Here is a 26,439-nt window from a genome sequence, read left to right as displayed (position 1 = left end):
ACGGCGGGGCTCAGGGCGACGGCACACCCTGGGACAGTGCCTCCATGGACGGCGGGGCTCCCGGCGCACCCTGGGACTGTGCATCAGCGGAAAGCCGGGCTCACGGTGCACTCTAGGATGGTGCATCCATGGAAAGTCGGGCTCACTTTGTAACCAGCTCACTCCAGGATTCTTAGTTACAATCATAACACCAAGCATAAATGAGTGATTTCAATTTTTTTATTTTTAATTTTTGTGGGTACATAGGAGGCGTATATATTTATGAGGTACATCTTAATAGAAACTCTAAGAGCCGGGGCTTCTGGGTAATAAGCACAGAGTATGAAGCCGCTGTGTTTTACTGACTTATAAATAGGACACCCTTTAGTCAGCCCTGTGCCTTAGAAAGCATGACACTCACCCCCACCCCATGCCCCACCGAAAAAGAAACCACAGACCAGATTATCACCTCTCCGAATGAGGCATTGGAATAATCTTCGCACTGTTCCGCGACCCGAAGGGCTCAGGAGTGCTGGAAAAAGATTCTTCACCTGTTGAGCAGTTCTAGCGGAGAAAAGATCAGGCTCGGCCTGCTTCCCTGCGAATCTGCCGTCTGTTGAGACAAGACATCTGAACCAGAAAGCCGGGGAGGAGGTGGCTCTCCATCCCCGTGGGAAGGCTTTCCCTGGTCCTTTCACTACCTTATTCAGGCCTCTTTAGTTCAGAAATAGCCTTAGGTTTTGCTCCTGGCTCCATTTTCCTCCTTAATAGCATCGCTCTTTTTCCATGTTTCTGTACAGAGAGATGTTGGCATGAGTATTTTGGTTTGGATGCCATGATAATATTTATCATCGTAATTGATACATGCTGAGTCATTACTAAGTACTAGACATGACGTTAATTGCTTAATAGGCACGATCACAGGTGATACAACAATCCTTGGAGCTAGACTACAGTTCAGCAAAATTTTTCTATGAAGGGTCAGACAATGACTATTTGGGGCTTTGATAGCCCTATGGTCCTTTGCAACTATTCAGCTCTGCCACTGTAGTTGGAAACAGCCATAGATAATACATAAACCGATGAGCATGGCTGCGTTCCAATAAAACTTTATAAGAACAGGGGATGGGCCAGATTTGGCTGTGGGCTATACTTTGCTGACTCCAGCTTTCAATTTTACTACGGTGGTTTCTGCTTGACCTGCCAGTGTTCTGAATGATGCATCTTGGCCTCTTTGACGTTAATATCCTGCATCATAAATTTCAGTGGCTCTAATAATATGTAAAATCACCAATATCTTGTGGATGTTTGTGACCTATGGAGAAAACAATAGCACACACACTGTTTTCTAGAGTAACAAAGGTTCTCCTTTCTGGGCTCAAATTTGGAGGGAGGGGCTGTTCCTGTTCTTGTAAGTGACCTGGAACCATCTTCCTCTTCAACCTGCTTTAGGATGTTGAAGGTGAACTTGGGAGGGGGGCTCAAGAATGTTCACAGCCTTCCCAAATTCAATACTTATCAGAAACTTGAAATCCAGTTTCTATAATTCACCTGAAATAACTTCTCCCATCTGGACTTCCATTGCCCCATCTATAAAATATGGGTGTGACATATTAAAAACTTCTCTTTGGGGTATGTGCCTTTGCAAATGTGGTAACTATTGCTTCTTTCACCACGCTGCTCTCCTATCCTCAGGCTCTGTATTAAAATGAGCAAAGGGCAGAAATTAGAAATGCTGATTAAGAATAGGATTTTGAGGACAGGGACCTTGTGTTGCTAGCAGAGTCTGACATTCCGGAAGGAATCAACAAGTGTGTGTTGGCTAAGACTGAAGAGTCAATACTATGAAGAGCTGGCAATATGGCAGTCAAAGGAAGGCCTGTGGCCTTGGCTAGCTTCCTCATCTGGCCCTTCCAAGGTACCTTCAGCTCCCCAAGCTATGTCCCAGTGAGGATGCCCCTGACACAGCCACACATCTATTGTTTTCTGCTGGGTACAGAGTTTTGCTGGCCCAAGGCTGTCAAATTCACTTTGATTTTGGCCTCAGCTGGGCTTCATGCTTTCAGAACAATTTCTCCCACCGCCTTTCACTTGAAGTCCTTGGCAGGGATGCCTCTCCCATTCTGCACGCACAGCTCACTTAATGGGCACAAAGAAATGGGAGAAAGCTCAGGGAAAAAAGAAATAACAACCCGACCCAGTCTAAATCTTGGGAAATCGAACAGGGTCTGCATCTCTTTGAAAACTATACACAGACATTTCTGGTCGAAGTGAAACCATGCTTCTCACAGAGGGTTGGAGACAGCAAATGGAGCCTTAGTCATACACAGTTAGTTTCAAACTTATGTTGCTGCTCACAGGGAGAAATCAATGTACGGTATATTAAAAACAATCACTGCAGCCCTTAAATGATCCAATAGTTTAGCTTTGAATGCATTCAAGCTAATGGGGGCTTTAATGGCTTCTGACAGATCATTCCATTGATCAAGGGGCATGTATGAAATACGCTGCCTACTAAACTCTGTTTTGATTTTGAGAAAAGAAAACTAAACGTCCATGGTAAACATGGCTTGATTGTTCACATGTTCACCGAGATCCCTCTCAGCGTGACCCTGGTTGGGAGCAGAGGAGGGAAGGATAATGGAATCCTATATACCTGGTTTGCTTCTCTCCTGACTCTAATCAAGGCATAATCAACGGGAAACCTCTGTCTGCAGAGTTGGGGGCAGGGGGAAGGAAGGTGACCAGCGGTCCAGTTTTCTGGGTTGGATGAGTTATAAGCCACGGCTTTGGCTGTCTGAGAAACTGATTCATCTCTTGCAAGCCTTGGGGGTTTGAAGGTTAACTGTTCTGGTTCCAACGTGGAAAGCCGAATTCCCTATTTGAAAGGATAATCAGGTTTTTCAGTTGGGGACAGCAGTTTTGCAAAGAAACAAATGAAATCATGCTCCTCCATCCGTGTGTCTGGAGGCTCCAAGATTATTTTATGAAGTGCTGAACGTACCTCTACTCAAGAAAGGCAGTTTCCACAGGGTGCATGGAGTCTGAAAAACCTAAAGAGGCCTTAACATGATTCATTGAGACTATTCTTGTGCAAGAGAGGTTTCTATTTCTCCAAGCCCTGGCAGCCTGCTGTGGCTTTAAGAGTGAGCCATAGACTGTTCCTGTGTCAGACTGGTCTTGCCTGATCAGAAGTAATGAATGTATGTAGAAATTCTTCCATTACCCAGCCAAACTAAATTGGTTTCACAAAACGAATAATAATAATTTCTCTCCCTTGGACTTGAGTAGGACTTTAGCATTTACAAAGCCTTTTTCCAAATGTTATCTCCACCTGCTAGCTGCACAGTCGTGGTTTTACCTGTGTGGATGGGGATGGATCTGGCTTGTGGACCCTCTCTCCTTCTCTCGGAGGCTGGGAAGGGAAGAAGGGTGCCCTTGAAACTGGCACCACGAAGACAGTGATCACCTGTGGTCTTTGTTTAATCTTTAACACCAAGCAAGGCTGTGTGGAGGGCAAGGCGTAGTGGCTCACGCTTGTAATCTCAGCGCTTTGGGAGGCCGATGCAGGCAGATCACTTGAGCCTCGGAGTTTGAAACCAGCCTGTGTAATGTGGTGAAATCCTGTCTCTACAAAAAAATTAGCCGGATGTGGTGGCAAGTGCCTATGATCCCGACTACTTAGGAGGCTGAGGCAGGAGAATCGCTTGAGCCCATGAAGTCGAGGCTGCAGTGAGCCGTGATCTCACCACTGCACTCCAGCCTACGTGACAGGGTGAGACCCTGTCTGAAAAAAAAAAAGAAAAAAAAAAAAGACTGTGTGAAAGAGCTTCATGCCATTATCACTAATGAAGAGGGTCAGAATTACCCGAAGCACACAGGATCTGGAACCATTGAACTTCTCCTAAACTTCCTGTAGAACGGTCTTGACCCTTTTGGCCCCACCTGTAGGGCACCTTGCTGTCCTAGGCCAGCACTTCCCATCTCTCAGCAGGAAACTACCGCATTTACCAGATCAGAAACAAAGGGAATCTCCGCCTGCTAGAAGTGCTTCATTTGTATTGGTGCCATGTTTAGTCAGTGGCTTTTGTAAAATTGATGAATTTTGTCTAAAGGCAAGTGCAGACAGGCAAACAGATCTGTATCTGCTGTTATCCATTTAGCTTGACACACATGTGCAGAGGAACTATTTTACCTCAATTCTTTCAGGATTGATGAAAAGTAAATGCGAGCAAAGTCATGAACTGCATCATTGGAAAAGAATCACTGAATCTAATGCTGGAGGTTAATTAATGCTTCCCTCCCCTTGAAATAGACTGACCCTGGTACTTAGACATTCAGAGTCAATAAACAATTGTTGTACACAGATCATCCATTAGAAGGTGATGGCAAGAATTTTTTTAAGCAAATCCAAAATTGCAATGGGTGACCTACTCCCACTGTAGAAATGAGAGTCCTAAAACATCATTTTTCATAATATCTCATTTATAAAAAGTTCCATGCCATCCGCCTAGCGAAAAATGGAAGCTGTGAAGAGCAAATGGGATAATATATGGGATAGTGACACAATATTCTTCTTGAACAAGCCACAGCTATCTTTAGTCCCTTTAATATTTTGGTCAGGATATCACGGATCATATTTTTCATCATAATAATGTACATGCGTGGCGTGATTTTTAAGTACCAGACATGATATGAATCACTTAACATGGCTGATCGTAGGGGACAGAACAATCCAATGAGCTAGGCATTATCATCATCCCCATTATAGAAACAAAGACTGGAGCGCAGAGGGGTTAAGTGATTTGGCCCAGTCACAAAGCTACAACTGTTACCACAGGAAACTTGGTTAATAATAATAGCTAGTACCTCACTGAAGCCCAGTATATGTCAGGTACTGTGGGAGGCATTTTAAATACGCATTAACTTATTGAACCTTCACAACAACCTTAGGTGATGGATTACTACTATTCTATTTTGTAGATAAGACAACAAAGGTTTGAAGAGGTGGTAGAGTGAGAATCACACACAGAATCAGAACTTAAACTCAGAAAACCTCTTCTGCCACTCAGGAATCCAAAGATTTGGAAAATCTGATGAATGACAGCGGGATAGAAAGAGCAGAGGATGCAGAGAGGCTCAGTTTCCAATGTAGGAGGAGGATTTGGGCCAGAGAGCAGGAAGAACTTGGCTGACAAGGTTCTGAGAGGTGGGAATTAGGACTGTCCTGGGAGCATGGGGCCGATGGGACACAGGACTATGGGAGCAGGGCTGCCTGGGAACCGGGGTGGAAAGCTGTCTGGTCCTTCTAGCCGGGATCTGGGGGGCACTTGTGGTTCTCCTTGTTAATAAGAGAGAATGGAGAACCAGATCTTCAGATACTTTCCTGGAGTTTCCAGGAATCTATCGGGTGTCTCAGGTGAGCGAGAGAACCAGGTGAATGCCTTCTGACAACCCCCAAAACCTGCCTCCCAAACACAGCAGTGGCCCAGGGGTGCCCTTGCTGTCTTGCAGGAAGTCATTCTTAGCCGGCTTCCCCTCCTCCCACCCATCCTCTGCAAGCTGCCCGGCTTTCCCTACAGCCGCAATCATCACAACACGCCTGTGCCGTCTCTCCCCTTTATGGTTGTCAAATTGATTTCACCACCGCGATACCTATGGCTCCCAATGAAACTTAATTAAAAATACCATTTAATCACAGAGTAACAAAGGCAAACGGGATAAACGGCATTACCACTTCGGCGCATTTTAATCCACACCGCTCCTCTCCATCTGAATCTGTCTGGATGAGAATTGCCTTTTCAAACCAGAATCCCCTTGTCTTCCATGTGCTTGCCTCTGACAGATCTCCAAAATAAACAGTTTTTAGCGTGGCATGGATCCAAATGTATGCAATTTGCCCAGTGGTAAAATCAGCCCTAACTAGAGCAAGAAAAAAAAAAAAGAAGTTGCATTTGAAAATACCTTCCTTCCCTCGAAGCATACAAAAAACCGTCTACTGAATGTGGGATCCGTTAAACGGGTCCTATGGACTCTCAATTCTGGCATCCCTGGATTCAGTGGAGTGATGGGTTTTGAAGCTTATTACTAAAATTGTGTCACCAATGATGCCATGACCCTGCTCTTTTATGTCTAGAAAGCTCTGTGGGGCTGGAGCCTGCCAGTGAGGGCGTCAGGAATGGATCTGCTGGGGTGTGGAGGGGAGGGGCTGTTTAGAGTGAACTCTGTAGGCAGGCAATCTAGAGGGGCCGCAGGCCATCTTGAGATCTCACCCAGCCAGGGGGACATTCCCAGTTGGAAAGCCGCTCCTTTGGATTAAGCTGTTTGCTCTCTCAGAGACCCTCTGGAATCCAGATAGAGCGATGATCTAATGCATAAAAATATCTCACCAAGTTACTTCCATGCCCTTGCTGCTTGAAACCCTCTCATGCTTCCTGGGGTGTGTGGAATAAAACCCGAGCGGCTCCCGTCTGCTCTGCCCTACATCTCCCCTTCTCCCCTCCTGGTCTTCTCGGCTTCAGGCTCAGGGCCCTTTTCCTTCCTTGGGCACCCCCTCCCAAGGCTCTCCTGCCTGGGCCCGCCGTCCCCTTTCCTGGGAAGCTCTTCCCAACCACCTCCCTTCCCCACAGCCTGATCAAGGTCCCCTTGGTCAGTCACCATCTCCTCTTGTCCCTCTCCCAGTTGGTTCCCTTCCTGGCACTTACAACCATCTGGAACACTCTTGTTATTGATTTGCTGCTTACTGTCTATTTCCCCACTATGGGGTAAGTTCCTATTTTGGTGACTACATATCCCAGGGCATCCACTAGCCTGGGAGGCAGAGATCTGTCTTGGGTCCCCAGGCTTGCCTCATTGCTGAGGCTGTGGTCAGCACCAAGAAACATTCATGGGAGGAAGGGAGGGAGGTAGGGCAGTCAGTAGCACCTCATTGCAAAGGGATCTCTTAGATCACTTTTCTCAAGAGACCTGGGACCACAGGGAGGACTGGCAGGAAAGCAGGAGGGGGCTGCTGCTGATGGAAGTGGTCCCTTATCCGCACACATGGGGAGAAGGGTGCGATTTCTGGGCCTGTGCTTCCAGGAAAGTCCTTCTCCAATTCACAGCAGAAGCAAGCCTTCCTTTGACCCTGCAGGATACGAGTTCATTGTCATTGCCCGCACCAGCTGCTTTTTTATTGGGTCTTGCCCACCTCCTTCTACCCACCTGAAACCTCCCTGGAGAGCACATGAAATCCTCAAACACATGATCAATGAAAGTCACCATTTCTTTCTTCTCTCGCTCCGTGGCCCAGGCTGGAGTGCAGTGGCATGATCTCGGCTCACTGCAACCTCCGCCTCCCGGGCCAAGCGATTTGCCTGCCTCAGCCTCCCGAGTAGCTGGGATTACAGGCACACACCACCACACCCAGCTAATTTTTGTGTTTTCAGTAGAGACGGGGTTTCACCGTGTTGGCCAGGCTGGTCTCGAACTCCTGACCTCCAGTGATCTGCTGCCTCAGCCTCCCAAAGTGCTGGGATCACCATTTCTTTAGAGCAAATGTGATCTCACCTTTCGGATTCACTTAAAGTAGTGATTTCTCCAACCCTGTTGCACATTCCCTGACTCCACCTGGAGGACTTTGAGAACTAATTCCACCTGGGCCCCACCCAGGACAGTGAAGCTGGCTCATCCATGCAAAAGGAAAAAAACAGCAAAATCTCTCGGTTTCTTATCTCATCCTTTTAATATGTTTATTGGATATGAATATTTTATGATGCAAATGACATTAGTACAAGCAGTCTACGAATAGAGTTCAATAGTCACACACATATATTGGGGTAAGCACAAAATATTTCGACTAGAGGGGTGCAAGCAAGCAGGTTTGGAGAGCACTGACATGAAAGGGTGATGCAGGTCAGGTTCACAATTAATGAAAAAACGGAGAAAAAGAGGGAGTATGGCAAACCATAGGCTGGGTCATGCCCCAACTCGCAGTGGGAAGATGCTTATTTAGCTTGCTGCCATGCGAGGATGGGGGCCTAGGACTATTGGGTGTTCTGAGTTCTAAAGAAAAATGCAGACCTTGGCTTGGCGCGGTGGCTCACGCCTGTAATCCCAGCGCTTTGGGAGACCGAGGTGGGTGGATCACGAGGTTGAGATCGAGACCATCCTGGCCAATGTGGTGAAACCCCATCTCTGCTAAAAATACAAAAATTAGCTGGGCGTGGTGGCACGTGCCTGTAGTCCCAGCTACTTGGGAGGCTGAGGCAGGAGAATTACTTGAACCTGGGAGGCAGAGGTTGCAGTGAGCTGAGATCGTGCCACTGCACTCTAGCCTGGTGACAGAGTGAGACTGTGTCTCAAAAAAAAAAAAAAAGAAAAGAAAAAAGAAAATGCAGACCTTTTAATTTTATGTGAAATCTCCCAATTTTTAAATATGGGCACCTAATGGGATATAACAAAAAATGAACATCATAGGGGCTAAAGAAAACACTGGGCTGGATGGCCCGAGGGTGCCCCATCTGTGACTTTTAAACACCACGCCCTCCTGGTCTATGTTATTTCATTTATTTCATTTAATCTCTGTAATGACCCTGTGAGACACTGCTTCACTTCTCTTTTACCAATGAGGAAACTGAGGCTCAAAGACACCAGGGAATGAATCCAAGGTCTGAGAGACTCGAGTCTCAACACGATGAGACCCTGGCTGCTTTGCTTAATGTGACATTTCTGTGGCTATTAACTGCATTCATGGGAATGAGTGCAGGCCGTGAACCACTGCAATTCTGGTGGCAGGAAAGAGTTTATTCTCAGTGCACCTTCAATAGGCAAAAGCTCTTCAACTTCTCAACTACTGTGAACAACTACACGAGAAAGCAACAGGCTGGGGAGACGGGGGGCTAACTATTCTCACGATTTCTTGGGACACCAATGGGCAGGAGCCAGGTCAGAAAGGGAGAGATGTGTTAATGGCATCACAAGACAAAACTGGCGGAGGGGTCAGCAAGAGAGAGGAAAACATCTACATCCAGGTCAGCTCACCCACACATAACAGTACCAGAATTTCCTGGATATTTAACTATGTGCTGGAAATTGTTCTAAGTCTGTAACTAGAATCATCTCACTTAATGTTCACCTTAGGACTGGTGCCTTTCATATATCCCCATTATACAGATGAGGAAACTGAGGCACGTTAACATGCCAAAGGACACGAAGCTAGTGGGAGTCTTAAAGCTCAGGTTTTAAACCCTACTCTCTCTTGTCTCTTTGAGTCTCCAATGTCATCAGGATGGGCCACTGAGGTTCTTCAAACCTCAGTTCCACCTGTTATTACATAAGAATGAGGGACTTACAGAAAAAAACTATACTATGCTGGTGAAATCCACGAAATAATGTAAATGGGGCTGTGTCTCTTTCAAGAGATCAAGGGAACTCCCTAAAGACAGGATATCAACTTTATTTTAATTATTAACATCTCCTTCCCGTGTGCTGAGCATAGGACTCAAAGCTCAGGCTTTTACTTAGGTTTGTCTTAGAGAAAGGAAAGAGGCCAATCTTCAATGAGTCATTTCTCTTTTAGTTTCTTTGCCTTTGGGGATAGAAGCTACAGACGAATGGAAATGAGAATTCCTGCTCTCAAACTTTTTATAGAAGTGTTGTCCAATAGGACTTTCTTCGATGATGAAAATGTTCCATATCTGTACCGTCCAATACAGCAGTCACTAGCCACATGAGGCTGTTAAGCACTTGAAATGTGGCCAGGGCGACTGAAGAGCTGCATTTTTAATTAAAATTAAAACTGAATTTAAATTGAAGTAGCCACAGCTAGCTAGTGGCTACCATATTGGACAGCACTATGGGTGTGGTGAGTAACTGGGATGTCTCTAAGTTCTGTCTTTCCCCAGAGGGCTGGGTCCACTCCAGAGTCTCTGAAAAAGCTTGGGAAAGAGGAAAGTAGGTTAGGCTTTGTCACACGCTGGGCTCGTTCCTGTCGCCTGCCCTGGACCTTGGGGGCTGAATGGCTCACATTTTATAATCTGAACAATTTTGGGGGAAGAAGGTCCTGTTTAACACCAAATCAGACTATAACACAGGGTCATTTTAAAACATTTAAAACTTCATGGGCACCATTTCCTAGCTGTTTTGGATTGGGACCCGGGTGCTACAATCTAGGGGCCAAGAGAAGTCTCCACTGCTCTTGCTTAAGCCCATGACAACGTTGGAGGAGAAAAGCCGATCTCTTTTTCTCCTCCGCCTGAGACTTGTGCTCCTTCTAGGGTTTTGCTTCCAGAAGCTGACCTCTGAGTTCTGAAACGATGTCTGTGAGGTCAAACGGCAGAGGCATCGAAGCATCATCCTTTTCCCAGTATGGCCGACATTCTGGCTTCTGATCAGCAGGTAATGTTCGGGCAATTCGTGACTGGCACCTGGAAGAGTAAAAATAGGAAATTAATCCACGGGAGGAAACCCCCAGAAGACCCCAACCCACAGGAAGCTTGGAGCAACACTGGCCAATGCTCCAAAGACAGTCCTCGGGGGTGAAGGTCATGGTGACGACTGAATGAATCTACAGGTGGAACGCAGGTGTTTATAAGAAGGAAGACTGTTTCTGATGGTGTTGGGACTTCCTTTGCTTTGACTCCCAGATTTGTATTATCTCAGGTGGCTTCGTAGAAGCCAATCATCAGGGAAATTCAGTTACTCTGCCTTTAAAATGGTGAATTATTTTTTCATTATCTCAACTGTTATTTAAAGTGTGTGATTAAGCCATTATCAGATTTAAATGTTTGTGGGATTTCAATGTATTACTAGATTACTGGGAAAGATTAAATTGAATTTACTGCATTAAAACGTCCAAGAATAGATTAAACAATATTACAGGCCGGGATTGACTTTGGAGATCCTGGAGATTTACAAGTGTCCCAGCTTGCTGTGCTCAGAAAAAGGCACTCCAAGGAGAGACCGATTTATAAGGATATATGCAAATAGAGGTTAATAATCATTTCCACTGATGAAGAGGTGGGAAAAACTTGCACAAAATTAAATTAAGAGGCCAGCAAGAGTTAGTCCCTAAGGAAAACACTTAAATCACGGTTTTTATTGAATGGATTATTCATCAATAGTAGAGAAATTAATTATCATATGAAGCTAAATTATAGCCTCACAGGAAAAAAATTGGGGCAACGTTCTTACACCTTGGCAGGCATCTATCTCTCAGAGAGACTGGCTTATTTAAAAAGTGACCTGGGAAAACTCAGTGGCTTTAGCTTTATTTATCTGCAAAATGAGGATCAGAGAGAAGGAAACAGATTGCATTAAGGAATGAACAATTTCTCGACTCTCCTGGAGTACGTGGCAGTGAAAACGAGTGGATCAAAACCAAACACTATGAGGACACTTGGGAGCATTGCACATGTGCCTCCCTCCACCCCCGCCTTCTCTCCATTTTTGTCTAAATCAATTAAAAAGTGGTCATGCTCACTATTTGTCTTCTGACTGTGTAGGACTGACTATGAAGAGATCAAAGAATGGAATATCCTGGCCCCATTTCCAAGCCTGATGGTAGAGAGGGTTCCTAACTGAAAGACATCTTCTTCTCTGGGGAATTATTAATGGTGAGGGGATCCCCCCGGGGAAAACATACTTCAACTTTACACCTATTTTCGAGTGTGGTTAATTGCTACACCGGCATCCTATGCACTCAATCCGTCGTACATTACACATAACATTCTAATATATCTTCAGCTCTCTGCATCCGGCCCTGATAATAGCGTCTGTTAACATGCACTAAGTACTATTATGTAGCACATCACTTCATAAATAATAAGATTAGCTGACCCCGGGGCCCCAAGAAGAGTAATGTGTTTAAATGTTCTCATTATTTATTTAAAACAAGAATTAAAGCAACAGAAGCTGCTTTTGACAATCCTCTTAGCATAAATATTAAACTGTTTGCACTGATAAGCTACACACTGCACTGAAGAACAGAGGGTGCGTTCTGTAGACTACTTAATCATAGGTGTTTGAGACCATGCCGCTTGCTGTCGTTGTTCTGAGGGTGCATCTCTGTAGTTGTAGAGACAGTCTCTCAACCACTTGAAAGGGATGCAGGGAAAATTAATATTCAAGGAAAGCTGCGACTAATTACAAAGGAACTCTGCAAAGCTTTTAAAATTGTGCTTTCTCTCTGTCTCAGAATCCTAGAGTAATGCTCAATTTACTGGGTAGGGAAAGTTATTCCAAATTGAGCATTTCAATCTCACAGTGGATAAATTGTCCGTGCACACATTATCCTGGCTGGCAGATTAAAGGGCTATGATAAGTGTCGATCCACCTAGAATATCATAAAGTTTGTAGAAAGTCAATAGAGATGCTTTTTCACCTGTCAAATGGGTTTTGCCTCCGTACTTTGAGAAAGTATGAAACATATCGAAGCCTGCTGCAGAGGTTTGCTTATGCTGTGTTGTACAAGCTTCCCAATCCCAATGGCTTTTCTTTTGGGCGAAGCTGTTTCACAGTTTTCTGCTGTTGTTCTTCTCATCAAAGGACTGGCTGGGGCCAGGCGTGGTGGCTCACACCTGTAATCCCTTGCACCCTGGTAGGCCAAGGCAGGCAGATCACTTGAGGCCAAGAGTCAGAAACCAGCCTGGGCAATGTGGCGAAACCCTGTCTCTACTAAAAAACACAAAAGTTAGCTGGGCATGGTAGTGCCAGCCTGTGATCCCAGCTACTTGGGAGGCTGAGGCACGAGAATCACTTGGACCCAGGAGGCGGAGGTTGCAGTGAGCCAAGATTGTGCTACTGCACTCCAGCCTGGGCAACAGAGCAAGACTCTTTCCAAAAGAAGAAGAAGAAGAAAAAAACAAAGACTGGCTGGTATGGGAAGTGGCTCCTTTGCATGCAAGCTCTGACAGACAAGCTGCACATAGTCACTGCATCCATCTGGGCCAGGAGTAGAACCCTTTGTTGGGTTTCTTCAGAGCCTTCATTCAGAAATTTCAAGATTACTTTAAAGTTTTTTCTTTAATGTCCAGTGTTCCTTGCCAATTTCCAAATGATAGTAATAGGGGCCAGCAGAGCGCTCGTTATTGGAGGTGATGTAGTCACCCATGAAAAAGGACAGACATCCCCAACTCAAATGATATTTTGTGATTTAGAATCATGCCAGACTATGGAACTGATAAAGAGAAGGTTGGGAATTACTGGAAGGCACATCTGTCCCCCTTTAGGGTTTCATTTCTTTTGCTCAGGTCACTCATTCTTCCTTCTTGGATCTTAATTTCCAAAGATGGGAAGCAGGGAGACTGCAGCATGGTGGTAAAGAGTGTGTTCTCTTGATTGCCGGAATTGCTGCTCTCCAGGGGCATGACGTCTTGGGCAGGTTTTGTTACCTCGCTGAGCCTCAGTTTCTTATCTGTCAAGTGGTGACGGTAATAATAGTATCTTACTTATGGGGTTGATGTGAAGATTACATGAATTATACGCAGTGTTTAGAACATTTCCTGGCACATAGCAAGCGCCCAATACCTATAAAATAATATTACCACTATCGTTACTTCTACTCCAGGTACCAGTGGCAGATGAGAAATGCCAATGAGAGAGTTGCCTGTTATACTTGGGCAGTCTCCTTCCTTCATACTAACTGGGTGCGTAGCCTCTAGACAGACTCCTTCTAGGGGAAGCTCTGGGGATACAGGAGCAGCTCTGTCTGGCTTGAATCAAATTGCACCTAAGGCTGGATCCTATCACATTTTGACATTCCAAGACCCTGAGGCTTATGTATTCAAGCTGCTACAACTTTCCAGTGTCAGGCTAAAATGTTCAGATTCAGAAGGGATCAGCAGTTATTCCTGAAGACCTAGGATTGATAAAAGGCATTGTCGTCTGGCCTTCCAAATGGTGGTTGTTCCAGACTGATTTTGTATTTACAGGAAATAAAGTTGGATTGTTTCTTAGCACACAATACTCTACATAGTCTCTTGCAAAATAAAGGGGCCCCAAATTGTCTTACGAAATGTGTGAGGAATACTGACTGTGATGGAAATTTGTTGTCCTGTATTTACTCCCACCGTTCCACCAACAGGATTCTAATTTTCCTGTGGGGTACCTGTCCCTTCCCCATGCTTCATGACTTGATGTGGGTGGGACTAGCTCCACCTCTACAGCCAGGGGAGAGCCTTGATTGGCTTAAGCTACGTCAGTACATCACGCTGTCCTAGCCACAGGGAGTGGTTTAAGAGGAGGCACATGACCCAATATGGGGCAAAATCAAGAGAATAAATCAGAGGACTGGTATGGGAGCTAAAGGAAAAGACTTTCTCCTCTCCTGGCCTATGAACAATTAGGATGTGTGATGTGGAACTGCCATCAACATTTTGCTGCCGTCCAGCAAGGGGTGGGTCCTGTACGATGCTGTTTGAGTATCTGAGTCATGCTTCACTTAGATGTTTCAGTTTCATGAGACTTTATTGTCTGAGTTAGGTTTTTCTGTAAAGAATCCTAGCTGATATGCCGGCCATGCTTCCTTGCTGTCAGTTATTTCCTGCCTTTTATAACATCCATTGCCTTAGCCAAGTGAATGCAGATAGTCTCTCCAAACTGAGATGTTGTGGTTGATACAGCGTAGTGTGTGCAGAGAATACCTGGGTATGAACCCATGAAAACACTGACATTTGGTTTTGTTTCAAATAGTATTTCTATTTGGGACAAATTTCTGCCCAGAAAACAAGAGAATGCTGGTCCATCCACACTGGCCTTTGCATGAAAATAAGCCAATTTTCAGGACTAGGGCTGGATAATGTTGCTAAAGAAAGTTAACAAGATTCCCTTCTCAGTGTCATTCCCAAGTCCTACTGAACCCAGCTAAACAATTAGAAAGTTACAGTTTCCCCTTTCAATCCTGTCCTCTCTAATCCTATCCTAAGGAAAAATCCCATTTTTTAAAATGTTTCTTGGGTTAGCAAATAAACTTGGATCTGTTCAGAAAATACTGCCCCTTTCATGAAGCAGTTCAAGGAGAGCAAAGGAAAATAATATGTATATACACATAAAATATTGTAAACATATGCTTTATATGTATACCTATTATTTTATATATAAATATTTTAAATATAATAAATACAAATATTTTATATATACGTATTTTATACTATATACTTTATTATATATTATGTATAATATATAATATGTAATGTGAATTTATAATACAAATTTAGGAGGAAGAGAGATAAAGTATATACATAATATAGTAGGTACATATACTTTTAATATATTATATATCGTGTATTATATATTTATATACAATAATATATTTATTATATTATTATATATAATTATTATATATAATGATATACATAAATTATATATAATAAGTATATATAATATGTAATTATATATTTATTAAAATATACAATTATATGTATTTATTATTATACAATTATATATTTTATATATTTAATATATAATTATATAACTATTACATACAATTGTAACAATTATATAATTTTATATATTTATTATATAATATATAATGATATAACTATTATATGTAATTTATAAATTTATATATTTATTATATAATTATATGATATAACTATTATTATAATTATATAATAAATATATAGAATAATTATATCTAATATTATATAATATATAAAATAATTATATAATAAATACATATAATTATATACAATATATACTATATTACATATTATATGTGTATATAAAGTATATATATTATATATATACTTTTTCTCTCTCTCCTTCCTAAATTCACATTATTTTGACTCAAAGCACTCTATAAACCACCTCCTAAAACTCTCAGCTACTTAGGAGTGGTTCTCCCTGAATGACCTAGTGACGTAACAGGAAGCAGCCGAAAGGTGTCACATTGGCTGGCTGCTAGCAGATTGTCTAGAGGTCCTCCTGACCAAGGTGTAACTCATGAAGGGCGTCACTGCCCGCTGATTTCCCCCAGGGCTGCACTTACATTTAGAAGATCGGGATTGCAGCTACATTAGTGAACACTGGTCACCATGCTAAAATTAACCACTTTAGCTAAAGTGTGTGTTAATTATGGGTATGCAAGCAGTCAATAAAAGGTTAATGCAAAAGTCAAAGGATAAATTTCTTCCCTTATTGCATCACTTCACAGACTAAATGACTAACATTATACTTTGTGTTTTTAATCAATAGGTTTTACAGTAATGTGCTGGCCATTGATTTTAAGAAAACATACACGGTCTTCTTCCTTGTCCCTAAATTTTGCAACAAATAAAGGACAGGTAACATTTCCATTACTCTTGATGAAATGATAAAGATTTCAGGAGAAATGGTTTCTGCTGAAAGATTCATCAGAATAAGCAAATGTAACATACACACACACACACACACACACACACACACACACACACACACAGACTAGAACTTGATGGAGAAATATTACCAAGCATGGGCCACTGAAGAGATAACAGAAATGAACTCCTAAGAGGGAATTCTTCAGTGGGAAAGAGGAGAACAACTCCTAATTAAAATAACAATTACATTTTGTACAATGTTTAAATGTCCCGAATAATGTCAATCCACAGCACTGCTTCTTACTTTCCTAATAATCTAGGAGAGATGGCAGGGGTAGGTATTTGGATCCCCAGTTTGAGTGAGGGCTGCCTTACTCAAGGTTTGATGGAACGGTGTGCAAGTGAGCCAGGGCGGGTCAGACCCCTGGACATCTGGCTGGCTGCCCTTTTCACTCCGTTCCATCTTTTTCATGGATTTCCATTTGGACTAAAATGGATCCTGTCCATTGACTAGTCAGCTATTCTTGTCAAATTTAAATATGCAGGACATTCCAAATCATTTCAGAGGAAAGAAGCAAATGTTGTTTTTACCTCCAGTTTCTAGAAGGACTATTATTATGTCAGATGACTGACAAAACCTAGTTTTCTTCTTTTCATTCTTTTGACTGTGAGGCCCTTACAGCATAAGTATCTACAGTCTATAGAAATAAAAGATACATGTTCAGCTTCTGAGGGCATAAACTATCTCTAATTATTAATATATTCCCTGGGTGACCTTGAGAAAAATATCTCAATCTCTTAGTTTCCTCAACTATTACAATGAAGTTAATGCTTCTCTGCTTTACCGGGTTATGTGAAGATAAAATCAAATAACACATATAAAAGCACTCTAAAATATGTAAACTACCATATAAATGTATAATTATGCCTCAGTATCCCTCTTCTTATGTGATACAAGTCCTATTTTTAAAACCTCGCTGATCAATCTAGTGATCATGCAACGCTGGCCAGAAGGGCTTGTAACGCTCGCAAATAAAAACGAAAGACATCACACTTCTAAAGACTAGAGCAGTTTAAATGGACAGCTTCATCAGAAAATACCCAGTGTTTAAAAGTCTCCTCTTCTTTAAGTCAGTGTTTTTTCTGGAAGTTGAATTTAAGGAGTTGACAGTCACTTGGCCAAATGCTGAGTAGGAGTCTGTTTGAGGGCATCAGCTACATGATAATGCATTCTCCTAATGTGCAATAGCATAAGCCAATACCAAGGCTTAAGAGGCCTCAGGAGCCAGGCAAGGTGGTTCACACCTGTAATCCCAGCACTTTGGGAGGCTGAGGTGGGCAGATCACGAGGTCAGGAGTTCGAGACCAGCCTGACCAATGTGGTGAAACCCTGTCTCTACTAAAAATATAAAAATTATCCAGGTGTGGTGGTGCACGCCTATAATCCCAGCTACTGAGAAGGCTGAGGCAGGAGAATCACTTGAACCCGGGAGGCAGAGATTGCAGCGAGCCGAGATCGAACCGCTGCACTCCAGCCTAGGTGACAGAGTGAAACTCCATCCCAAAAAAAAAAAAAAAAAGAGGCCTCAGGTAGAAAACATTGGTGTTACATCAAGTCCACATGAACCTGCAAAACCCACCTGCCAGATCAGCAGGAAATAATGATGTCATAGGGCAACAATCCTCTCAATGGCCTTTTGCTTTAAAGGGAGCGTGAGACCAATATGGGACCCTAATGTCCTCTGTTCAATTCAGTATCTTGAGGGTTCATTTCACTCTAATGTGTATTTGTGTGGCAAATGTCTTGCCATACAGAGTGATTCCAGGGTGTAAAGATAAGTATTTTTCATATTAACATGGTATCTAAATCCCTGCCAGTACCTGATGTACAAATTGAAGGGATTTCCATGTATAATTCTCACCTCCATGATGCCTACCTTAAGCGCTACATTTAAAATCTAACCTCATGGAAGAGGACACTCCATTGCACTGTTTTTCATAGTCTCACCATATTTTGCTCCAAATAATCTGTTATAGCGAGTGGTGAAAAAAATTTGCAGTCTAGTTTATAATAATCTTTCCCTTGACACTCTAAATCCTCTGAAAAGAACAAGTCAATGAATTTGTAATGTGTCTTTTTGGACTTTTGTCACTGCTATCATGACACTGTGGACAACTTTACAAGTAAATAGTCACCCAGTCATACTTACAGCTATCATAACGGTCTACTCGGACAAAGGTGGCTTTATCAAGTCAGCATGTCAAATAACTCAGTTTACCTATTGTAGAACCACTAAACCAAACCAATTCCTAAATGAGTTTTGACAAAAGACACGTTCACTTTTTCTTTGAAAGGCTTTTAACCTCTTGCCTCTGTTCCCCACGTTAATGTTTCCAGATCAGTAAAGTCAACACACATCAGAGAGTGAGGAAAAGCCAGACTTCTCCCTAGGGGTCAGCTTTTTTTCCCCCGGGTCAATACACCTTTTTAGTAGTTAGTGTTCTTCAACCATGACCACTTGAGAAGCCGGGTTTGGCTTAACTTCCAGTTGTATATACATCTACTTTTGGGCCTCACGCTTCTGGGAAGAGGTGAGAAGTCCTATATAAGATAGGCTGTTCAGGTGCTTTAAAAACCCTTTGACTGCCAAATATACCTGAAGTGCTTTTGAATACCAACATAACGCCATTCAGCCACATAAATACCATCCATTTTTCAAGAACTCTTTCTTTCTTTCTTTTTTCGACACAGGGTCTCACTCCATCACCCAGGCTGGAGCACAGTGGCACAGTCATAGCTCACTGAAGCCTCCAACTCCTGGGCTCCAGTGATCCTCAGCCTCCCAAGTAGGTGGGAGTACAGGCAGGCATCACCACATCTGGCTATTTTTGTTTTTGTTTTTTGTAGAGATAGCATCTCCCTTTGTTGCACAGGTTGGTCTCAAACTCCTGGGCTCAAGTGATCCTCCTGCCTTGGCCTCTCAAAGGGTCAAGATTACAAGCATAAGCCACCATGCACAGACAAGAAATCTTTCTTCCATTTAGCATAGATAACTCTGCTGCCTGGATCTTGGCCAATTAGCATAATTAGAGAGTCCTTCCTGTGGGTCTATGCCATCCTGCTGCCTTGGAGAAGGAGACAGTGCAGGCGGTACCCAGCTGCTGTCAATGTCTTACGTTCTCCACATTTGTTTGGAACTCAAAAGACAGCTTCTATATAAACAATGGTTTTCACAGTTCCCAATTCTTTCCCTCAGCACCTACATGACCTACAGTTTGTCTGAAATATAATATTAATAATACTATAAAGTGAAATAGCCATGAACATCAGGGCTTTTTGTTTTGTTTTGAGATGGGGTCACTCTAGGTTGCCCAGACTGGTCTAGAATTCCTGGACTCAAGTGATCCTCCTTTCTCAGCCTCTTACATAGCTGGGATTACAGGCACGCAAAACAATGCCCAGCTGATTGTTATTTTTCATGAGATAGAACATTCAGAGTTCCAACTTGGGATTCCAAGAAGAGATTTGTTTTGGTAAAGGTTTCCCATCATCCTGGCTATGGAACCAGAGTGTCTCACTGTAAATCATGGTTAAGAGCTCCCCTGCTCTTGTTATGATTGCTTTTGGTGTCTTTTTCATGAAATTTCTGTCCATTCCTATGTCCAGGATGCTATTGCCTAGTTTGTCTTCCAGGGTTTCAAAAGCAAAAGTTGATAAGTAGGATCTAATTAAACTTAAGAGCTTCTGCACAGCAAAAGAAACTATCAACAGAGTAAACAGATGACCTGCAGAATGGGAGAAAATGTTTGCAAATTATGCATCTGACAAAGGTCTAATATCCAGCATCTATAAAGAACTTAAACAAATGTACCAGAGAAAAACAACCCCATTAAAAAGTGGGCAAAGAACACGAACAGGCACTTTTCAAAAAAAAGCATACATGCAGCCAACTAGCATATGAAAGAAAGCTCAATAGCCCTGATTATTAGAGAAATGCAAATCAAAACCACAATGAGATATCATCTCACACCAGTCAGAATGGCTATTATTAAAAGTAAAAAAATAACAGATGCTGGCGAGGTTGGGGAGAAAAGGGAACACTTATACACTGTTGGTGGCAGTGTCATTTAGTCCAGCCATTGTGGAAAGCAGTATAGCAATTCCCGAAAGAGCTAAAAGCAGAACTAATATTCAGCCCAGCAATCCCATTACTGGGTATACACTCAGAGGAATATAAATCATTCTGCCATAAAGACACATGCATGCAAATGTTCACCGCAGCACTATTCACAATAGCAAAGACATGGAATCAACCTGAATGCCTATCAATGAAAGATTAAATAAAGAAAATATACACACCCTGGAATACAATAAAGCCATAAAAAACAACAAGATCCACATATACACCATGGAATACAATGCAGCCATAACAAAAAACAAGATCGTATCTTCTATGGGAACGTGGATGGAGCTGGAGGCTATTATCCTTAGCAAACTAACCCTGGAACAAATCCTGCATGTTCTCACTTTTAAGTGGGAGTTAAATGATAAGAACCTATGAACACAAAGAAGGAAACAAGAGACACTGGAGTCTACTTGAGCAGGGAGTGTGCGAGGAGGGGGAGAGCAGAAAAGATAGCTATTGGGTACTGGGCTTAATAACCGGGTGATGAAATAATCTGTACCTCAAACTTCCGTGACACATGTTTACCTATGTAACAAACCTCCACACATACCCCTAAACCTAAAATAAAAGTGGAAAAAAAAAAAGAAAGAAAAAAACCCAGTTCCTCTGGCCTATGGTAAAGGCTCTATGGGGTGAGGGTAAAAGTGCTCAGATCGTACCTCCAGGAGGTCAGAAGATGAGGAGATAAGGGATGCAAGAGCCCCTTGCTGGTTTGGAAGTCAGGGCCACTTATGGTCATGAAATAGCTCAAAGGCATCTCCACGCTTTCTTCAGGGGTCCAGAGGAGTGCCCTGCCTTTTCCCCTTTACTGCTACAGTGTGCGGGATCCACCAGGGCACCTCCCAAGCCATGTGATGAGCATGTGTGATCCTCACAGCACTGCCTTTCTCCTGTCCCTCTCAAAACCGCCCCTGTAGGTTTATCAGAGACTTTTGTTGACATGGGAGAGATTATAAAGACATTGTACCTCATGCCAATGCTCTTTCGATGACATCTCCTCTCACACCAAAGGGATAATAAGAATACTAATAAAAACATTTAAAAGAGCCAATAAGGCTTGGCACAGTGGCTCACGTCTGTTATCCCAGCACTTTGGGAAGCTGAGGCAGGCAGATAGTAAGCTCAGGAGTTCAAGACCAGCCTGGGCAACATAGTGAAACCCCATCTGTACGAAAAATTTAAAAAGACTAGTCAGCCATGATGGCGGGCAGCTGCAGTCCTAGCTAGTTGGGAGGCTGAGGTGGGAGGATCACTTGAGCCTGGGAAGCTGAAGGTACAGTGAGCCGTGATTGTGCCACTGCACTCCAGCCTAGGTGGCAGAGCAAGACCCTGTCTCAAACAAACAAACAAACAAAAACCCCACAATAATAAAGATGAGTGCTAGGATTCTATACATCTTCTATTAAAATGTTTGTCCTCAAAATTGAAAATGAGGCCCAGAAGATTAACTAACCCATCCATGATTTCACAGCCAAACAAGGGATAGGGTCAGGATTTGAAGCCAAAATTGTCTGATTCGAAATCTCTTTGCATTCTTCCAAAATACAGACATCACGAGAATCATTTGGGCCCTTGTTAGAAACTGAGTTTCCTAATGGCACCTGGTCCTAAGTCAGACTTTCCAGGTGAATGTCCTGGGAATCTTCATTTTCATAGGTGACTCTTAAGATCAGGCCAGTTGGTGAAAACACTGCACTGTGTTAACCTGCCACAAAGGACCACAAAGATGCTAAAGGTGGGTTGCGGTGGGGGAGACATACGTGTCTTTGGGTCCAGAAAGAACTAACATTCAATTCAGCTCCATTTCAGAGGAAACCAGACTCAGGCCGCTGTAGAGTCCTGTAGAGCGGCAACTTGGCTCCCCAGGCAGGCAGCTGGTGACTTCCCAGGGTCTGGCACATGAAATAGGTCTCCTGAAGTCCTCCCCCTACTTCAGGGACTGTGGCAGGCCCTTGGAACCACTTAATACGTGAGACTGCTTGGCCCACCACTGAGGTGTAAACCCAGGAGGTAGAGGGCTGAGAATAATTTTATCCCCCAGTTCATTTGTGGGCTTGTCAGTTACATAATGATAGTGATGAATGGGCTATCTTGACAGCCGAACATTTAGGAGCTGCTGACCTTTGATCTCTGGTCACATGATAGGGTCACCCGAAACTTGCATGACTTCTACCTGCCCAAAGGTAACAATATAAAGGTCAAATGAGCTGGACGATTATATGTATCAAGTCGGAGGCCGCTTGGTTGGACGCTTTAAGAGAGGCCGGGTTGGGTTCCCCAGCACACAATGCTATGGAACCACTGCAGAAATGTGCTCAACAAAAGATATACAATTTCAAAGCAGTCTAGAGTAACTTTCCTTGCAAGGGAATAGAATGAACTCATTATTTTTAAAGGGCAACAATGAAAACAAACACTTTGGAAGAAAATATATTCTGCTAGTGACTCAGCCATTGGGAGGGAAGGCATATAGGTGCATGACTTAATGAATGATATTCATGCTATACCTACGACATGGCAGCAGGTCCAATTTGATGCAATTACTGGAACAAAATCCCCACCGGGTAGTATCAAGCCCTCCTTTCAGCCACAGAATACGGTCTCTCCGCTGTCCTCTGTCACCACAGAACTCCACAAAGGACCATGATTGAGAAAAGATAACCCTTTCCAAATCTCATGACTTCCCTGTTGCTTGAAATTTAAGTAACGTTTGCATGGGACAGTCTCAAACTTCAGAAAGATTCCAGAATAACTTCTGATTAGAAATCCAAGGTGGCTGTGATTTTTAAACGCACTACAACATTCTAAAAAACATTTCTTCTTGCAAATTGGAAGACTGTGCTTTTTGACTATGTGGTTCAATTCCATTCACTCAGAATCAACTTGATTCTGAGTAAATAATAGCAGTCATGTAAGTAACGAATACAGTTATGAAAATAAAAGCTAAAAGGCCAATGCCATATCTAGAAACTTCACAATCTGCAGGAAGCGGCAGACATTACAGAAAAATCTGATTTACACAAACAGCCTGTTTTTCTACAAAGGATTTTCCCCTGCAAAGTCAAAGACCGACAGACAGACTGCCAGTGAGTATAATCCACTCATACTCCTGAGAGATAAGCAAAGCAAGGGACAATGGCTTACAGAATAAAAGGCCAGCTGTTCTGACTTTGGAATGCTCATTTGAGTTGTAGGCTATGAAATAAATTTGAGTTGATGATTCCTCCATCTGCTCACCTGTCAGTCTCCTGCCACTGAACTGCTGTTTTTAGAACTACTTCCGTGTAACCTGCTTAATTGGTTTTTGGATGCCAAGAAACACCTCACAAGTTCATTTTAACCTTATTTGGAACATGAGGTTCCTGGGTCTTTCTGGATTTCTCTTCTTTAGAAACATTCACTAACAGGTCACTTAGGGTAGGGAACTCAGTAGCATCTAATACCAACTGTGTGACACAGTTCAAATTCAGGATTAGGGAGAAAATGGTGGGTCAAAAGAAAAATGCTAATTTATAAAGATCATATCAGTCTTCTGATGAATTAAACTGATTTAAAAGCTGAGTCAAAGTCAAAATTCTTACAGTGGTCCACAGGGCCCTCCATGATGGACCCTTTCCTGACCCCGATTCTCTGCCCTCTCCTTGCACTCATCCCATTGTTCACTGTGCTCCAGTCAGACCGGCTTATTTGCTCACCCTGAAGGGGCCAAGAGCAGTCTCAGCATATTAGAACCTGCTGCTCCTTCTCCCTTGAACACTCCTCCCCTAAAATATCCACATGGCTTCCTCCCCTTACCCCTTCAGGTCACTCCTTAATCCAATCAGGGAGACCTTCCTTGACCGCCTTACTCAGGACAGCAAACATCTCCCCTCCCTGTCCCCCAACTCTAGCACTCCCCATCTTCCTTCACTGTCCTATTTTTCTCTGTAGCACTTGATGCCATTTGTGTGTGCGTGTGTGTGTCTGTGTGTGCACACGCACATGAGCTAAGCTCTCTGAAGGCAGGGATTTCTGTCTGTTTTGCTCACTGCTATATCCTCAAAGCCTAGAGCAGAGTTTGACACATGGTAGCAGCAATAAATACTGTGGAGTGCACAAGGGATTGAAAGCATCTTGCATCTGAATTGTATCTCCTTAACAGGGAGCTGATTTCCCTGCTACACAGCAAGTTAATAACAGTGATAAGAAGAAGTAATAGCTGGGCATGTAAAAGTAATAGTACCCTGTAGTACCAGCTACTTGGGAGGCTGAGGCAGGAGGATCACTTGAGCCCAGAAGGTCGAGGTTGCAGTGAGCAGTAATCACACCACTGCACTCCAGCCTGGGCAACAGAGCCAGACCCTGTCACCAAAAACAACACAACAACAACAACAAAAAAAAAACAAAAAAAGAGCAAGCTAACAACCTAACAAGCCAGATGGTATAGTAGGGAGAGCACTGGTCTGAGAGTTAAAGACCCAGTTCTGCCACTACTTTACCCTAGGATCTTGGGCAAAACTGTGACTTTCTGGCCATCATTACTTAGATCTGTACAATGAGGGCTTGAGTTAGACAATCCCTAAAGGTCTTCCCATCTCTAAAAAAACTGTAGTTATATATATAAACAGTATGGCTTACGTCCATATGCATTATCCCATGTGATCCTCACTACTAGGGCAGCAAAGAAAGGTGTAATCCCAGTTTGAAAATGAGGCCACAGCTAGTGCCAAGGCCTTAACAGATGAGTCCATCTTGGGGCCTCCAGCCCTAGGACAACACAGCTGACACCACTTGAAGCAGTGACAATCATCTGTTACGGACTAAATGTCTGTGTCCTCCTAAAAGTCATATCTTAAACTCCTAGCCTCTAATGTGACAGTATCTGAAGGTCGGCCTTTGGGAGGTAATTAGGTCATGAGGGTGGTACCCTTATGAAAGGGATTAGTGCCCTTAAGTGAAAGCATTGTTCCAGGTCACACAACCACATAAATAACAAGTCATATTAATTGGGGCTGAAACTTAGGTCACTCACTAGTCCAACACTTTTCAACTAAACTGAACTTGGTAAAATTGGGATTACTGCCACTCACTCTTAAACTCTGATTCAAAAGCTATTTTTGCAGGCAAGTTCTAATCCTCTGAGCGATATGTGTCATTGACTCCAGTACTTCCTGGGCGCTATTTCACTCTCGCCAAAGAACCTATGGAGTCTTTAAGCTGCCGCTTCATTCCAAGGTTACAGATAATAAACTGCTCCATTTGCCTATGGATGTTTTATGACAGGAGCACAATTATATGTTGGTGCAGCTGTTTTGTAGAAAGGGAAGAAGTCCAGGCCACTGCAGCATCAGGATTGTCATGTTAACAAGCCCCTGAACTCCAAAGATGTCATAGTGTCCTGGCCTTAAATCCAAAGCAAGTCTGCATTTTGTACACCTAGGAAATGAATGACACTCTTTCTACAGCTAACATTTGGAAACTAACATTGCTTTGTCCCACATAAATATCTATGCCGCTGGGTCAGTGATCAAGAAGATGCTTGCTAAGTGTCCACTGATAAAGCCAGGATATGGGCAGAAGGACTTCTGTGACTTTTGTGCTTTTAGTATCCATTCATTCAACAAATATTTACTAGGTGCCAGGATCTAGAGATCCAGTAGAGAACTACACCAAGTCCCAGGTTTTGTGGCGCTTACATGCTAGCAGGAAAGTCAGGTAATAAACACATGTATCGGTTATAAACTGTATTCAGCTGCTAGCAAGGGGGACTGGAAATAACAGTGGTCAAAGTAGATGGGAGCTTATTTTTATTTCACATTAAAGAAGTCTAAGGACCATCACACAGAAGCAGACCATGGACGTCTGCAACCCAGGCTGTTCCATCCACCTTTCTGCTCTGTCATCCTTAGCACATGGCTGCCATCTGCGAAGTCACCTTTGGGGCCAGGACACTCCAACCACCATATCTGAGTCCCAGGCGGGGGGCAGCAGAAAAGACAGAGGGCTATAATATCCCCTTA

General features: G+C 43.1%; 1 protein-coding gene across 13 annotated transcripts in view, besides 1 other annotated feature; it reads right to left on the bottom strand.

Annotated features, from left to right (window-relative positions):
* The window catches only part of FTO (FTO alpha-ketoglutarate dependent dioxygenase), a 417,979-nt gene continuing 391,745 nt past the window's right edge, over window positions 206-26,439 (bottom strand). For 12 of the 13 annotated variants that reach the window (NR_156761.2, NM_001363905.2, NM_001363891.2 and 9 more), the window contains one exon: window positions 7,680-10,385. Coding sequence is in view for 11 of the 13 variants with exons in the window: in NM_001363905.2 (NP_001350834.1) it covers window positions 10,232-10,385 (154 nt within the window). In the remaining 2 variants the exon portion in view is untranslated. Of the gene's footprint in view, window positions 10,386-26,439 lie in introns of all 13 variants that reach the window. The other variant, NM_001080432.3, reaches the window with a different exon arrangement.
* Window positions 11,192-12,205: an enhancer, noted in NCBI's record as "VISTA enhancer hs52". NCBI's record gives its function as "enhancer in: dorsal root ganglion[3/5] | trigeminal V (ganglion, cranial)[3/5]" and the evidence as "EXISTENCE:transgenic organism evidence [ECO:0001131][PMID:17130149]".

Source organism: Homo sapiens, chromosome 16 (assembly GCF_000001405.40).
Source record: "Homo sapiens chromosome 16, GRCh38.p14 Primary Assembly".
NCBI classification, from domain to species: Eukaryota; Metazoa; Chordata; class Mammalia; order Primates; family Hominidae; genus Homo; species Homo sapiens.
The sequence above is the reverse complement of the archived record's forward strand: the minus strand, read 5'-3'. Positions and strand labels throughout refer to the sequence as shown.